The sequence below is a fragment of the Homo sapiens genome, chromosome 13, assembly GCF_000001405.40.
Source record: "Homo sapiens chromosome 13, GRCh38.p14 Primary Assembly".
Lineage (NCBI taxonomy): Eukaryota > Metazoa > Chordata > Mammalia > Primates > Hominidae > Homo > Homo sapiens.
Window position 1 is genome coordinate 19,706,057 of NC_000013.11, and position 15,572 is coordinate 19,721,628.

At 35.3% G+C, this 15,572-nt stretch overlaps 1 protein-coding gene across 15 annotated transcripts in view; it reads right to left on the minus strand.

Moving 5' to 3' along the window:
- PSPC1 (paraspeckle component 1) overlaps positions 1-15,572 on the minus strand; it is a 111,741-nt gene that overhangs the window by 34,852 nt on the left and 61,317 nt on the right. For 5 of the 15 annotated variants that reach the window (XR_007063688.1, XR_941617.3, NR_149052.2 and 2 more), the window contains one exon: positions 3,486-3,543. The exons of 7 other annotated variants lie outside the window; for them this stretch is intronic. Coding sequence is in view for 5 of the 8 variants with exons in the window: in NM_001042414.4 (NP_001035879.1) it covers positions 3,486-3,543 (58 nt within the window). In the remaining 3 variants the exon portion in view is untranslated. Of the gene's footprint in view, positions 1-3,485; positions 3,544-15,396; positions 15,426-15,572 lie in introns of all 15 variants that reach the window. 3 more of the 15 variants (XM_047430435.1, NM_001354908.2, XM_011535139.3) reach the window with 1 other exon arrangement.

The window sequence follows — 15,572 nt, forward strand, 5'->3', positions numbered from 1 at the left end:
CAATCATTTTAGGGCATTTGAGACTAACAGTTTGCAAGCTTTGAGACATCACTATTATTTTGTAATAGCAGGCTTTTAAACCAAAGAATCCCTAACAATGGGGACTACATTTTACCAGTTTAAATGAGTAACAAAGGATTAGCACTTACAAAACCACTTAATTTTTTTCAACCCATGGCTAAAAATATTAGCAGTAAATTATGCTAAGTTGTGAGAGAGGAAATCATTTCCTGCAATATATAAATAAAGATCATTATAACTAGCCTCTCATCTTAGTTTTTTTTTTTTCCTCCCTGAGTTTATGGAATACCTTGCTAAATTACATAAGGTACTCTTTTTTTAACTTTTTATTTTGAAATATGGACTCTAAACCAAAAAATTGAAATGACTTATAAGAAAACTTATTTTTAAAAGCAACCGCAACCAAATACAGATAAAATATTAATATAGCTATCTGGATCTTTCTGACAAGCTTAAATTCCATAAATGGGGACAACCTGATAATATTTCAAGTTTTTTCATTAAAAAAATCCACCTACCTCATTAACATTAATAGTGTTTGCACTGTAATACTACATATATGATGATCTCAGATACAACACATTTTTAGGCATTTTCTTTGAAAAATTTTTTCCCTTTTAAGTGTTAGTACTTATCATTAAAAATTCATAACAAAGCCATTCTAATTTAGAGTTTTCTTCTAGTATTTCATTACATAGGTCAATTTTCTGATAATAAGAACTCAATTTCTCAAATATACATTATAATGCAGCTGAAATCTCTATATGGCTGAGTCCTTACCAGCCCCTGGCATCATACTTCTGCTCTTTGAATCCAATCCCCAGAAACCTAGCAAATTCATAGGAAGGAATTATTTCCTTCATCCCCAAATGCTCTTGCCGATAAACAGACTTTAACCAAGAATATTTCCGCTCCCTCAGTATAGCCCTAAATAGCTATTTTTAATAATTTCTACAATCTAGACATGAAGAGAATATAAGAACAGTATCTAAGAGGCGTCTTACCTCAACAATCCCCCAGAAAACAAACTAAGTTTCTTTTTCCTCTCTTTCTCTTTAATGGAATGTAATTTTACAATGGTGGGTTCGGAAGTTTTCTTTTTCCTCTCTTTCTCTTTAATAGAATGTAATTTAACAATGGTGGGTTCAGAATATAACTATACAACTATGGGTATAAAAAATCAAAAATAATATTTCCAACTAACAGCAGTTAACTTAGAGCCTTACTTTTAGTATTCACATCTTCCACCACATAGCTATAAATAAATTTAAAGATATAAAAAATGTTAGCATTATCTGATTACTAGAAAGGTAGCATTATAATGTAGGTTTCGTTTGGTTATACACACTAGTGATACACCAGAAAATCTGCTGCCACTTTCCATCAATGTAACTTGATGAGTTATGACAGTTTTAACTTCTCAACAACCCAACTGGATGATAATGATTAATAGCTCTACAAAACCATTATGATGAAGTCTCACATTGAATGAAGACTGAAGAGAAAATTAGATAAACTGGGCTTTAGGAGAGTTAAGTGCTAAAATGTAAGTAAGTCCTCTGGTGAATAAAATGTCACAAAAATTTTAAGTTATCTTCAATTCCTAACTAAATAAGGACTCTAAAGGCATATTCTGATATTTCTTCTGATAAAATTGCAGAGTATCTCTGCACCATCAGAAATGGTTTTAAGTTTTATACTATTTTAAAGTTTAGCTCTGATGTTAATGTCATTCTAATAATGATAACAGCCTTTTAAACTGCCTATAATCTACAATAACCTTATTCCTAAAATCCTTAAAATTACATGGATTATATTAAATAGCACCCCAGCATTTACTCTTAAAAAAAGACATAAATATTGGACCACTTGGACATCATTATACTCAATTATGCTTCATAATTTAGAACACTCTTGGTTCATTAATTATTTCACGTATCCACTGCAGTAATTTCACAATTAAGTTCTTTATGGGCGAGGGCCATGTTTCTTGCTTCCTGCATATATCAGAGATATTCACTAACTACTTGTTGGTAAAAAGTGACCAAGTAAAACAGCAATATATGACTCTACATTATCTGATTAGTAGTATTGAAAAACTGGCAACAGAAGTTTAAGAAAAAAAAGCTGATCATGGAAAATGTTCATTCCACACATGACTTAAGTTTCATTTGATAGACTATATATGCTGAGAACACACTTGATTTTGTAAATGGGTGTGCATGTTAAGTACATTGTTTGCCATGGTAGTGTAATCTTTGAAACTATGTACTTTTAAGTTATATAAAGATTTTTAGCTTCATAACACCTTTTGTGGGACAATTTAATGTGGGACAGCTTTTGTGGGACAATTAATTTAATAAAATTTAATTCCTTATCCAACTTTTAAATGTATGACATTTCAAATTTCAAATTTAGTAAGGCCTACGATATGCCACACTTGCTTTTCCTTCAGGTTATTTACTTGGCATTATTTCCCTTGCAACTTGGCTATACGAGCAAATCCATACTAAAGTTGCTAATATGCTTTCTTAAAAGCTTAGTCAACTCTAAAACATGCATTGGCGACACACATAATTCCCTTGATGAGTTATAGACTACAAACACTGAGTGCACTTCTGTGCACAACACTGTAGGTTAAAGGAAAAAAGTTCAATATTCATTAAAGTGAAGGAAAACAGCTTCAAAGTTACACAAAAAGCTAGTTTAAGATAGAAATGTATAAAACGCTCTCCACCTAAAAACACAACTCAGAAACTATCAATTTCCAACTCGGAAACTATCAATTTCCAGTGTTCAATTAGGACAGGCGAGGTGGCTCATGCCTGGAATATCAGCACTTTGGGAAGCTGATGGGGGTAAACTGCTTGAGCCCAGGAGTTCGAGACCATCCTGGGCAACAAAGCGAAATCCTGTCTCTACTAAAAATACAAAAAATAAGCCAGGCGTGGTGGCACATGCCTGTAGTCCCAGCTACTTGGTAAGATGGAAGGACCACTTGAGCCCAGGAAGTCGAGGTTTCAGCAAGCCAAGTTTGTGCCACTGTACTCCAGCCTGGGCAACAGAGTGAGGTCCTGCCTCAAAAAAAAAAAAAAAAAAAAAGCCAAATAGAAGGCATAAAATTTGATTTTAAAACTGCAAAGACAGAGCTGTATTACACAATGCAATGACTAAACTACCTTCAGGCTGTATTGCAACCTGGTTTATATGTTTCTTTCATTAAGCCTATGAATGTATAACACATCTTTTAGCCTTCAAACAAAAACAAAATGAGAATTTTCTTCCCAGACATATATTTTTAATATAATTGTATTGTATTCCAGTTTAATGGATGTAAGAGATTTCACCTTTAGAAATGTTGGTTCTGTATTTTAGTTTCTTACTGATATGTAGATACCACAAACAGCATAAACAGTCCCCCCAAAAATGATAAATTACAAAAGCCTTTTGCTTCAAATCCCTACCTCCCATGTTTATTGCTCCACGGGGACCCATATCACCCATTCTCATTTCCTGTTCTCTCTGTAAGTAAACATAGTTGTCACAGTCAACCTATCGATCTTATGACTTTACATTTCCCATCTAAAATCAAAAAGAAAAGAGTGAATTGGGACATCATTTTTCATTAAAAATTTTGAAAAGTTTCCATCATCATAAACTTAATAAGAATGCTGAAAAGAAACTTCAGTCTCCCAGGCTTAATATACTACAAATGCTTAATGCATCCAGTTTATATTGCAAGATTAGATTACTAATGAATCAGATTATATAAAATATATCACAAATTATTTTTAATGTTTTTATTCCAACAGATGAAAGACACATGCCTAGATTCCAAGCAAAGGAAAATCTAGTAATGATAACCACCAGAGCCAATTATTTTCTCCTCCCAGGTCACTGAAGTCTTAAAATAGAAATGACTGTTACCAAGTTCATGTTGAAATGTATTTGAACATATAACACAAATAGCTTTAGGGAATTATGCTAAAAATAAGGTTACAATCTTCATTGTCTAAATATTATAATTCATTCATGTATTTGTATTCATCTACTCAAGCATTATTCCATCCAGGGACTATAGATAGCCCACACAAGCAATTACTGAAAGCTCGACATAACATTGCTTTCCTTTAACTGCGCAGTAATTTTATTTGAAAACCTGAATGAAAGTATTACACAGTTAACTATAAAACAGAAATATTCAGAACATTTGAAATTTCATTACAGAAACTGCTTCCTAAAAGCTGTTCATTTACCAACAATAGTGACATAGAATTAACTTCAATGAAATCTCTAAGTGAAATTTCTCAAGATAACATAGGAAAATTGCAATTTTCACTTTGACTTGATGACCATTTCCAATCACAGAAAACTGTTAAATGTAGCAATCATGAAAAACATTCCATTATGAGACAAATGCAGCAATGTTTAAAGAAAGCATAATTACTGTACTTTTGAAAAGCAATCTTATTAAAATCTAAATGTTCATTTAAAGTTCCATTTTATAATACGAAAGACTGTTGAAAAGCACCTATAAAGCTGGAAATAAAATAAAAGCCTATGATGGAAACGTAATTGCCATTAAGCCACAAGTGGCTCCTTAAAAAAACTGCCTAACTTAAATGGAGATGTCCAAAGGTAATCCTAATGAAGCTACGGTACAATGAATGAAGCTACGGTACAACAAAAACACCATCATGAAGAGATAAAATGCTTTCTCACATTATTTAGAAGATTTAAATACCAATCTTTCTAAAAAGCTTAATTTTTTTTTTTTTCCCAGAGATCCTCGCTCTGTTGCCCTGGCTGCAGTGCAGTGGCGTCATGATAGCTCACTGCAGCCTCGAACTCCTGGGCTCAAGTGATCCTCCTGCCTCAGCTTCCCGAATAGATGGGATGACAAGCATGCACCATCATGCCTGGTGAATTTTTGAATTTTTTTTTGTAGAGATAGGGTCTCGCTATGTCAACCAGGCTGGTATCTAACTCCTGGGCTCAAGCAATCCTCCTGCCTCACGCTCGCAATGTGCTGGGATTACAAACGTGAACCGCAATGCCCAGCCCTAAAAGCCATGTTTTAACTTTCCTAAAAATTTCTCATCATAAAATTTGTGACCATTAATGGATACTATTGCTGACCTGCAAAAAAAGCTAGACTGAGGCGGGGTGCAGTGGCTCACGCCAGTAATCCCAACACTTTGGGAGGCTGAGGCAGGCAGATCATCTGAGGTCAGGAGTTCAAGACCAGCCTGGCAAACATGGTGAAACCTGTCTCTAGGTTGGGCGCGGTGGCTCACGCCTGTAATCCCAGCACTTTGGGAGGCCGAGATGGGCGGATCATGAGGTCAGGAGATTGAGACCATCCTGGCTAACACGGTGAAACCCCGTTTCTACTAAAAATACAAAAAAAATTAGCCAGGTGTGGTGGCAGGCGCCCGTAGTCCCAACTATTCGGGAGGCTGAGGCAGGAGAATTGCGGGAACCCAGGAGGCAGAGGTTGCAGTGAGCCGAGATCGCACCACTGTACTCCAGCCTGGGCAACAAAGAGAGACTCCGTCTCATAAAAAAAAAAAAAAAAAAAAAAGAAACCCCATCTCTACTAATAATACAAAAAAATTAGCTGGGCAGTAGTGGCACATGCCTGTAATCCTACCTCCTCAGGAGGCTGCGGTAGGAGAATCGCTTGAACCCAGGAGGCGGGGGTTGCAATGAACCAAGATTGCACTATTGCACTCCAGCCTGGGTAACAAGAGCAAAACTCTGTCTCAAAAAAAAAAAAAGCTAGACTGTAATATAAAATTGCTACTCATCAAGCATTATATTTAGAAAACTATTTTAAAATAAAGCTTCTGTTATCACTACTTTCAATAAACCAAACCAAATTGCCATTTCCTTATCACTACTTAGAAACTACTGATAGGTTCTTAGAACCTACTGATAAAACTTAAGAATGCTTCAAAACACCCAAAATCTTCTAGCTATAAAAATAATATCTATAGTATCTAGATAAGTATCTGTAACAAGCAAATATAGTAGACATTTCGTTGTTCAGAAGCTGGTTACACACCAGCACCATCGAGTAAAATACATGGATTTCATAGTCATGACTTTTGGGGAGGACAGGATTTCAATTTATATTTTTACTTTTGAATTTGTCTTCACTATGAAAGGTTAGGAATTCAATATCTAACCACTAATATAGGGTAATTGTTTACAGTCTCACTGCTTGAGATTTCAATTTTCAACTACCCCTTATATACCCTAATACCTTAACTATTGGCCTATGATTCACTGGCAGGAAAAAAGGGCATAAACAATCTTTTTTATTGTCTCTTTGTATTTTCAGCTCTATGTATCACTTTCTAGAATAACTTTCTAGAATAGTGCAAGCTTTATTATTCACAAAGTACCTTCTTTTATTATTAAATCCATTGTCATTAAGAAAATTTCACGGGAAATGTATCAATGTACCAAAAATATCTATGGTTTTAAGTTAACTATTAAACATGAACATTCCCCTTCTGGTGGTATATTATAAATTGGTACAAGTTCTAAAATACCTTTCTCTAAATGAGATAATCAGAATATCTTAGAATACTCCATGCTACCATAGCATATTACTGTATTAAAATACCAATTCATGAGGCACATTACAGCATTTTTCACTAAATATATATATATATACTTGTACTTAGTAATGTTGACAATATCTTAAAGATGATTACTGAATACTATTTTACACAGCTTTGCTCTTAAGAAAAAAGAGTATAATTTGATGGCATCATTTTGTAACTATCTTAGAAGGGGCAAAAGAAATTTTCAGCTTCCTAGTCATGTCTTCAGGCTGTTACTTTCTAGAAAACCACCGCTACAAACTTCTAGTAAAATGCAAAAGAGGTAGAGATTAGGATGATTTTGTAAAATGAAATACAGCATTCTTCACTAACACTAAATCTATCAAATATTAATAAGAATCACTTGAGGAAATTCACAACTGTGTGCCCACCCAACAAGCAATACACAAAACCCTTACTTCCCTCTATGAATGACTTTTAATAACACTTCAAATTAGAATTTAAGTTAGAACCAGTGCGTATACGTGATATTTTTACAAATTTTAATAATGCTTTATTACATTACAAAAAATTAAGAGTTGTTGTTTAAGCCAAAACAACTTATTTGTAACCAACATCTCAAAAGACTGCAGTGCGCTAAAATAAACCTATGATGAAAACTCAGTTTTACATTATTGATTCAACTCTATGAAGTAGGCCTACTGTTACCTCATTTTAGACATAATGAAACTGAGGCACAAAGCTGTTGAATAACTTAGTCAAGGTCATATGGATAGTAAGTGGCTGAGCTAACCTATACGATTCTACTGAAATGGAGTTCACAAAATTTTTGACGTTCACGAGATACTTTCATTCTTCAAAAATTCCAACATATCTCCATGTCCCAGACAGCCAAAAAAAAAAAAAAAAAAAAGAATTCCAACAGTCGAAGCCTAACAAAAGGCAAGATTTTAACTTATCTTTGCGGTATTTATAAGATTGTATGCCTTTCCATGGAAAGAATTATACATATGTATTCCTGAAAGCTTCGAATTCAAGTGTACTTAAATTAACAGATGACCAAAAAAGGAGGCAAAGTATGACTAATTCCCAGAACCACATGTCAAAAGAGCATTCCATCATTGCAGCGGTTCTTAACGTGTAGGTCATGGAGTACACTAAGAGTCCCCAAAACTCAGGAAGTGCACAGTCACAACTATTTCATGTTTTCCCAGCACTAAGATACAGTTAGTTATAGTACTATCATCAGACTTTTCTCTGTATCAACATTCACTACATTTAATGGTGCGAAAGTAATGGCTAGGAAAAGTCCCAGCACTATAGCACAAGCCAAGAGACTTGGGCCCAATTTTTACTAGTAACCACTGCATTTGTCACATGGATAAAACTGTAGTTTAAAATTTTAAACTATGAATACCTGGAGGAAGCAGTCAAAGTTAATTTTATTAAATCTCTATCCATGGGTACATGCTTTTTTCATGTTCTTCACAATAAAACAGGATTTGTCCACAAAGTACATCTGCTGCATTCTGAAGTAGGATGGTTATTTTAAGAAAAAGCATTCATAATTGAGGTGCATGTTGAATGAAATACTTTTTTCACAGAACAAGGTTTTTATAAGAGACACTATAATTATTGGCTTGAGTATTTGGCGGATATTTTCTATGAGATCAATATGAAGACATGTAACTTCTTTTTAATTTTGTAAAATAAATACATTAGCATTTTGGATAATCTGCTTAGGCCAATGCATCAGTATTTTTCTTCTGATTGGTACATAACACTAAAAAATCATGCATGGGTAAAAAATCCATTCAAAATTCAAAGCAGCCCAGCGGATTTCTTTTTTTTTTTTTTTTTCCTTTGTCAGTCTCACTCTGTTGCCCAGGCTGGGGTGCAATGGCGTGATCTCAACTCATGCAGCCTCTGACTCCCAGATTCAAGCAATCCTCCTGCCTCAGCCTCAAGGGTAGCTGGAACTATAGGCAGATACCATCACGCCCAGATAATTTTTGTGTTTTTTGTAGAAATGGGGTTTTACCATGTTACTTGGGATGGTCTTGAACTCCTGAGCTCAAGTGATCCACCTGCCTCAACCCCCCAAAGTGCTGTGATTACAGGTGTGAGCCACCATGCCCAGCCAACCCAATTAATTTCGATGTAAGAGTACTTTTAAGTTTTACAGTAGTATCAAAAAAATCCACAATTATCTTTAAAGGTTATTAACATACTCCTCCCTTATCACTTCTCCGTATAAAGTCAGGTCTTCTTTGATGCGTTTTAATTAAAAAGCTTTCTGCAATAGATGGACTGCAAAAGCAAACGTGGGAAGCCAACCATTTTTTATAGAGCAAAACAAATTTACAAAACATAAAACAACACCATTCTTCCCACTACACTAAAGGGAACATTAAAAGACATTTGCAAAAATGTACAAGAAAGCGACTCTTAACTCTGTAACGTTTTCTTTAAAACCTCGCTTTGGCTTATAATATGGTAAATATTGATATAATCCTTTAGCAGGACTTTGGCACCCTCAATAATTTTTAATAGTGATATGGAAAATTAAAGAAATATGGAAGCCAAAAGGTTTGAGAAGCAATATTTTTAAAATCGCAGTCAGTTTTCTTTCATGAAAATATAGAACAGGAAGCTTGCACTAAGTAAGGTAAATTAACCTAACAAATATTTTCCAAAGTGGCATGGTAAACATGCCACTACTGGCACATGGCACTTTTTGTGCAGAACATGGATATTTTTCCTTTAATATTTAGTACTTGGGCTATCATGAAACAAGGTTAGCATAACCATCCAAAACCCCAAGTGCTCCAAAATCCAAAACTTTTTAAACACCAACACGATGCCCAAAGTGGAAGATTCCATACTTGACCTCATGTGATGGGTCTAAGTCAAAATGTAGGCAAAACTTTCACGCACAAAATTACTTAAAATATTCTACTGAGCCAGGCATAGTGGTTCATGCCTATAATCCCAGCACTTTGGGAGGCTGAGATGCCAATTGCTCGAGCCCAGGAATTCAAGACAAGCCTGTGTCACACAGTGAGACACTGTCTCTTAAAAAAAATTTTTTTTGGACAGACACATAATCCCAGCACTTTGGGAGGCTGAGGCGGATGGATCACGAGGTCAAGAGATCAAGACCATCCTAGCTAACACGGTGAAACCCCGTCTCTACTAAAAATACAAAAAAATTAGCTGGGCATGGTGGAGGGCACCTGTAGTCCCAGCTACTCGGGAGGCTGAGGCAGGAGAATGGCATGAACCCGGGAGGCGGAGCTTGCAGTGAGCCAAGATCACGCCACTGCACTCCAGACTGGGCGATACAGCAAGACTCCGTCTCAAAAAAATAAAAAATAAAAAATAAAAAAATTAAATTCTATGAAGTTACCTTCAGGCTATGTATATAAGACATATATGAAACATAAGTGAATTTCATATTTGGATCTGGGTCCCATCCCCAAGATATCTCATTACATAATACACAAATGTTTCAAAATTCAAAAAAATCCAAATTCCAATACACTTCTAGTCCCAAACATTTTAGATAAGGGATACTCAACACGTATATTTTGTGGGTGTATATGTGTGTGTGTATTACCAATAACCTAATTTAAAGGAATGACTTAACACAGTACTCAGGTAAAGCTAAAGTGTAGTATGACCACCTAAACTTGGGGATACACTCACTGAACTAAATAAAAACTGCTTTAACTGTGTCAACTGGAACACCATTTAATGATCAATGACGAGAGGTATTCATCTAACACTTTATCAATATAACTCTTGTTTGAGTGAATGCAATCTTAATGGGCACAATCAATACTCTTTTTTAGGTCACAGTCAAAATTCTTTATTGATAAAGACCTCTCATGTTTATCTCAAAAAAAGCTTTAAGAATTGTCCAGGAATCACCACATGCTATTTAGGTTCTATGTCTCAAAAAACGAAAATGCTAAAATAATGTAGAACATTTAAATCCACTAAAAAATATATAATTCTAGAGAAAAATATAGTAAGTTCTGACAACAGGATTCAGCCTTTTTAATCAATTAGGAATATCTAAATATTCCTAAAAATAAATTCCCTAAAAAAAACTATATTTAGCAATTGAAAATATTTTAGTGTGAGCAAACTATATTCTATTACCTTTTCCTTCACTAAAGAAGGTTACATAACAGAACAATAAGGTTATAACCAATTAAACTTTCATGAGAAAGATTAAATAAGAACTGTTGGCCAGGCGCGGTGGCTCACTCCTGTAACCTCAGCACTTTGGGGGGCTGAGGCAGGCAGATCACCTGAGGTCAGGGGATCGAGACCAGCCTGGCCATGATGGTGAAACCCCATCTCTATGAAAAGCTTGGCGACACAGCAAGACTGCATCTCAAAAAAAACAAAAAAGAAAATCGTTAGGAGCCAGAAATATTAGATAACAAATTGTAGACACAAAGAATGAAGCAAAAATCACTTACATGAAATATTCATGGGTATTTTTAAAAACCTCAAGATATTAGGCCTCTTTGCCAAGAAAGTATTAACTCATGAAAAAAGTATTAAGATACTGAACAATATACATCAGCAAATGAATCTTTTCTAATAAAAGTAAACTGGGCCGGACATGGTGGCTCACACTTGTAATCCCAGCACTATGGGAGGCTGAGGCAGGCAGATCACTTGAGGTCAGGAGTTAGGGACCAGCCTGGCCAACATGGTGAAACCCCATAAATACTAAAAATACAAAAGAAATTAAGGCCAAGCACGGTGGCTCAAGCCTGTAATCCAAGCAGTTTGGGAGGCCGAAGCGGGCAGATCACCTGAGGTCAGGAGTTTGAGACCAGCCTGGTCAACATGGTGAAACCCATCTCTATTAAAAACACAAAAAATCAGCCAGGTGTGGTGGTGGGCACCTGTAGTCCCAGCTACTCGGGAGGCTGAGGCAGGAAAATCGCTTGAAACCAGAAGGTGGAGGCTGCAATGAGCCATGATAACACCACTGCTCTCTAGCCTGGGCAACAGAGAAAGACTCTGTCTCAAAAAAAAAAAAAAAAAAAAAAAGTTAGCCGGGCATGGTGGTGCACCCCTGTATCCCAGCTACTTAGAAGGCTGAGACAGGAGAATCACTTGATCAGGAGACAGAGTTTGCAGTGAGCTGAGATCGTGCCACTGCACTCCAGCGTGGGCGACAGAGGGAGACTCCACTTTAAAAAAAAAAAAGTAAATAAGGGTCAGGCATGGTGTCCAGTGCCTGTAATCTCAGGGTTTTGGGGGACCAACGCAGGAGGATCCCTTGAGGTCAGGAATTAGAGGTATGGTGACCTATGATTGCGTCACTGCACTCCAGCCTGGGTGACAGAATGAGACCTCACTCCAAAAAAATTTTTAAACGTTTTAAAATGAAAAGGAAAAAAATATACGTTTCTATTGATACAACTCAATAGCATGTAAACTTTCCAACCTAATCAATAGTGAATGCTTGGAAAACTTAACATTTGAAATTCAGGCAATTAAAAACAACAATTTCCAATATATGTTATTCGCTGCTAGTTAGTGAGGGGTAGTTTAAAAAATATAAGACAATCTCTTTATATATATATACCCAAGTTTTCTCCCCTCAATACATGCATTCCTAAATATCTTCACCCATGAATATCTGGGAAAATATTCTTCAGATATATGATTGTTAAAATGAAACTTTACATCGTATGCCATTGATAGAATTGCAAATTACATTGACGGAACTGCAAATTAAAATGAGACAGCACTACAAAACCTACTAGAATGGTGACAATCCGAAACACTGACAAAAACAAATGCTGGCCAAGATGCGATGCAACAAGAACTTCAACGTATTGCTGAAGGGAATACAAACAGGTGTAACCATTTTGCAAGACAGTCTGGCAGTTTCTGATAAAATTAAACATACTCTTACCATCTGATACAGCAATATCACTCTTTGCATTTTACCCCAAGGAGGTGCAAACTTATGTCTACACAAAAACCTACACATGAATGTTTATAGCAGCTTGATTCATAATTGCTAAAACCTGGAAGCAACTAAGATGTCCTTTAGTATATGAATGGGTGAACTGTGGTACAACCAAAATATTATTCAGTGCTAAAAAGAAATGAGCTATCAACCCATGAAAAGACATAGAGGAAATTTAAATGCACATTGCCAGGTGACTAGAAGCCAATCTGAAGAGGCTGTATACTGTATGATTCCAACTATATGACATTCTGGAAAAAACTAAACTATGGAGACGATAGAAGGATCAGTGGTTGCCAAGGGTTAGGTGGAAGGGATAGAGAAGCAGAGCACAGATTTTTAAGGAGGTGAAAATACTCTGTATGATGCTATAATCATAGGTTCATGTCATAGATTTGTCAAAACCCTCAGAATGTACACCCAGAGCAAATCTAAAGGTAAACGATAGACTTTGGTTGATAAGCACGTGTCAATGTAGCTTCAGCAATTGTTATAAGTGTATCATTCTGGTAAAACACTTTGATAGCAGGAGAAGCTGTAGGCATGTGGCACGGGGTAGACGGGAAATCTCTGTACCTTCCACATAATCTTGCTGTGGACCTAAAGCTCTTTTGAAAAAGGCTACTAAAATATTGAAACTTTAAAATGAATCCTTTTGAATAATCAATTACATTAAAAATAATAATAATAAATCAAGATGAGTCTCACTATGTTGCCCAGGCTGGACTTATACTCACTGGGCTCAACGGATCCTCCTGCCTCAGGCTCCCTAGTAGCTGGAACTACAGTCATGCCACCGCACCCAGCTAATTACATCTTAATTTATACTGCAAGGTTTAGTCACGAAACAAAAAGTAGTTGTTACTTGTTAAATACTAAATCAGAAATGGAGGCAACGACAAATAGAAGTAGGGAAACTTACTGTGTTCATTAACTTGACATGTGCCTCTTAAACCAAATACATTCAACAATGTATTTTGAAAGCCTCGGTCAGGTAATTGAGTGAATAGATTGCTCTGATATTACTGTCAAATTCAACTGAATGTGTAGCAAAATTAATGGCTGTTTTTTAATACATAGGGTGGCTTTCTAACCGAAGATCAATTAAATGTAAACACAATCTAGCACACATCAAGGGACAGAAGGAAATAAGTATTTTACATAAATTAATTGTTAAAGAAGCTTCTATTTGGCTGAGATTTTAAGAGACGGGCCTCTCACTATGTTGCCCGAGCTGGCCTTGAATTCCTGAGCTCAATTGATCCTCCCACCTCAGCCTCCCAAGTAGCTGGGACTACAAGGCACACAACACTGCTCCTAAGAATTTTATTTGTAATGCATACACCTGAGAGCATTTTCAAGATTACCAGTTTCAATTGTCAGGTGTAAACTCACTCTGAAGAGGTGCTTTTAAAACCTAAAATTGATTAATAGTATTTAATTATTCTTCAAATTTAGTTATTTTACCCAGAACTCCTAAAAAAAACAATGAGCAAGGATACCAGCTGTAAGACAAACAATACTAGCAATAAAATCTTACCAAAGTTCACATAATACTGGTGACTGGTTTGCACTTCTTGATCCAAAACCTCTTTCTTATCCAGTGCATTTCCTTACCAAAGTAAAACCATCATAACTGGCCAGGTCAAGGTATGAAAGGTGAAAGAAAAGAACAAATATAAACTGCACAAGCAGCAGTTCCAAATTGGTCCCGTCAACAGAAAAAAGCAGAAAAGAGGAAAACAAGGCATAGATGGCCAACGTATGAGTTAAGTACACATTTTATACAGGAGAGTATCCATTTCTGTTTGTGATAGTCGGCATTAGATAAATCATCTTAATAATTTACCAGAGGCCTTGAAATTGTGATGTTAGTACATATTTTCTTCTAAGTAACTAACTCAAAGCTACAGGTTTAAATACATAGTCATTTTTTACACATTTAAGTGGTACCAAAATAAAAATCAAAGTTATTTAAAATTTGCCATTATAAAACAAACTACTGTAACAATCATATCAATTGGTTAAAATCATATATAGAAAAAACAAGAATAAATCAAATGAAGAAGTTATCTTAAGAAAACTATGGTAAAACAACCAGAAAAGCCAGGGTTTGACACATAGTGCACAATATAGTATAAGATACCATTAAGAAAAGAAACAAACTTACCCATAAACTTTCAGTTACTTTGAATTGTAAAAGTCTTTGAAAGTTTGTAATTATAATTATCAATCTAACTCAAATAAGTAAAAGCCTTTGAAAGTTTATAATTATAATAATTACCAATCTAACTCATAACTGCATCTCATCAGATGCTTACAAACCAGAGTTCCTACAGCCTACATCTCACTAGTTGTTACTTAATACTGAACATAGACATTATAATTTTTTAGTTTTAGTACAAAATTCTAACATTTTAGATGATACTACAGAGATACTATCCTCAATATGAAGTATAGAAGATCTTAGATACTGACTAGCCTAAAATATAATTTACCGTCACTATGTAGAACAAGCACTGTAAGGTGGCTCCAAATACATTAAACAAGTCACAAAGCAGAAGTAACAAGTTAAATTTTTATGCCTTCTGAGGATCTTCTGTTACTAATTCAAACTAATAATTAAAATTATTATTAGTTATATTATACACTAGACAATGCACAAGATATGTTTACATTAGTTAACCATGTCTATTTGCCGGTCTTGACTCTCCTCTTCTCCGATTGCTCAAAAAAGAGTTAACATTAGCTAAAAAATCTTACCATTCTGAACCAAAAATTATTAGAACTTACCATTTCAAATGAAAAGACATGAGGTATACCTACAACACAGCAGGAATAATAAACAAATCACATCATTTTATAAACACAGACATATACACACACAAAAGTACCAAGACTATTTAATGACACTCTCAGTAGAGAATTTCATTTTCTAAATTCTCAGAACGTTTGAGCTGTTTCTTTTA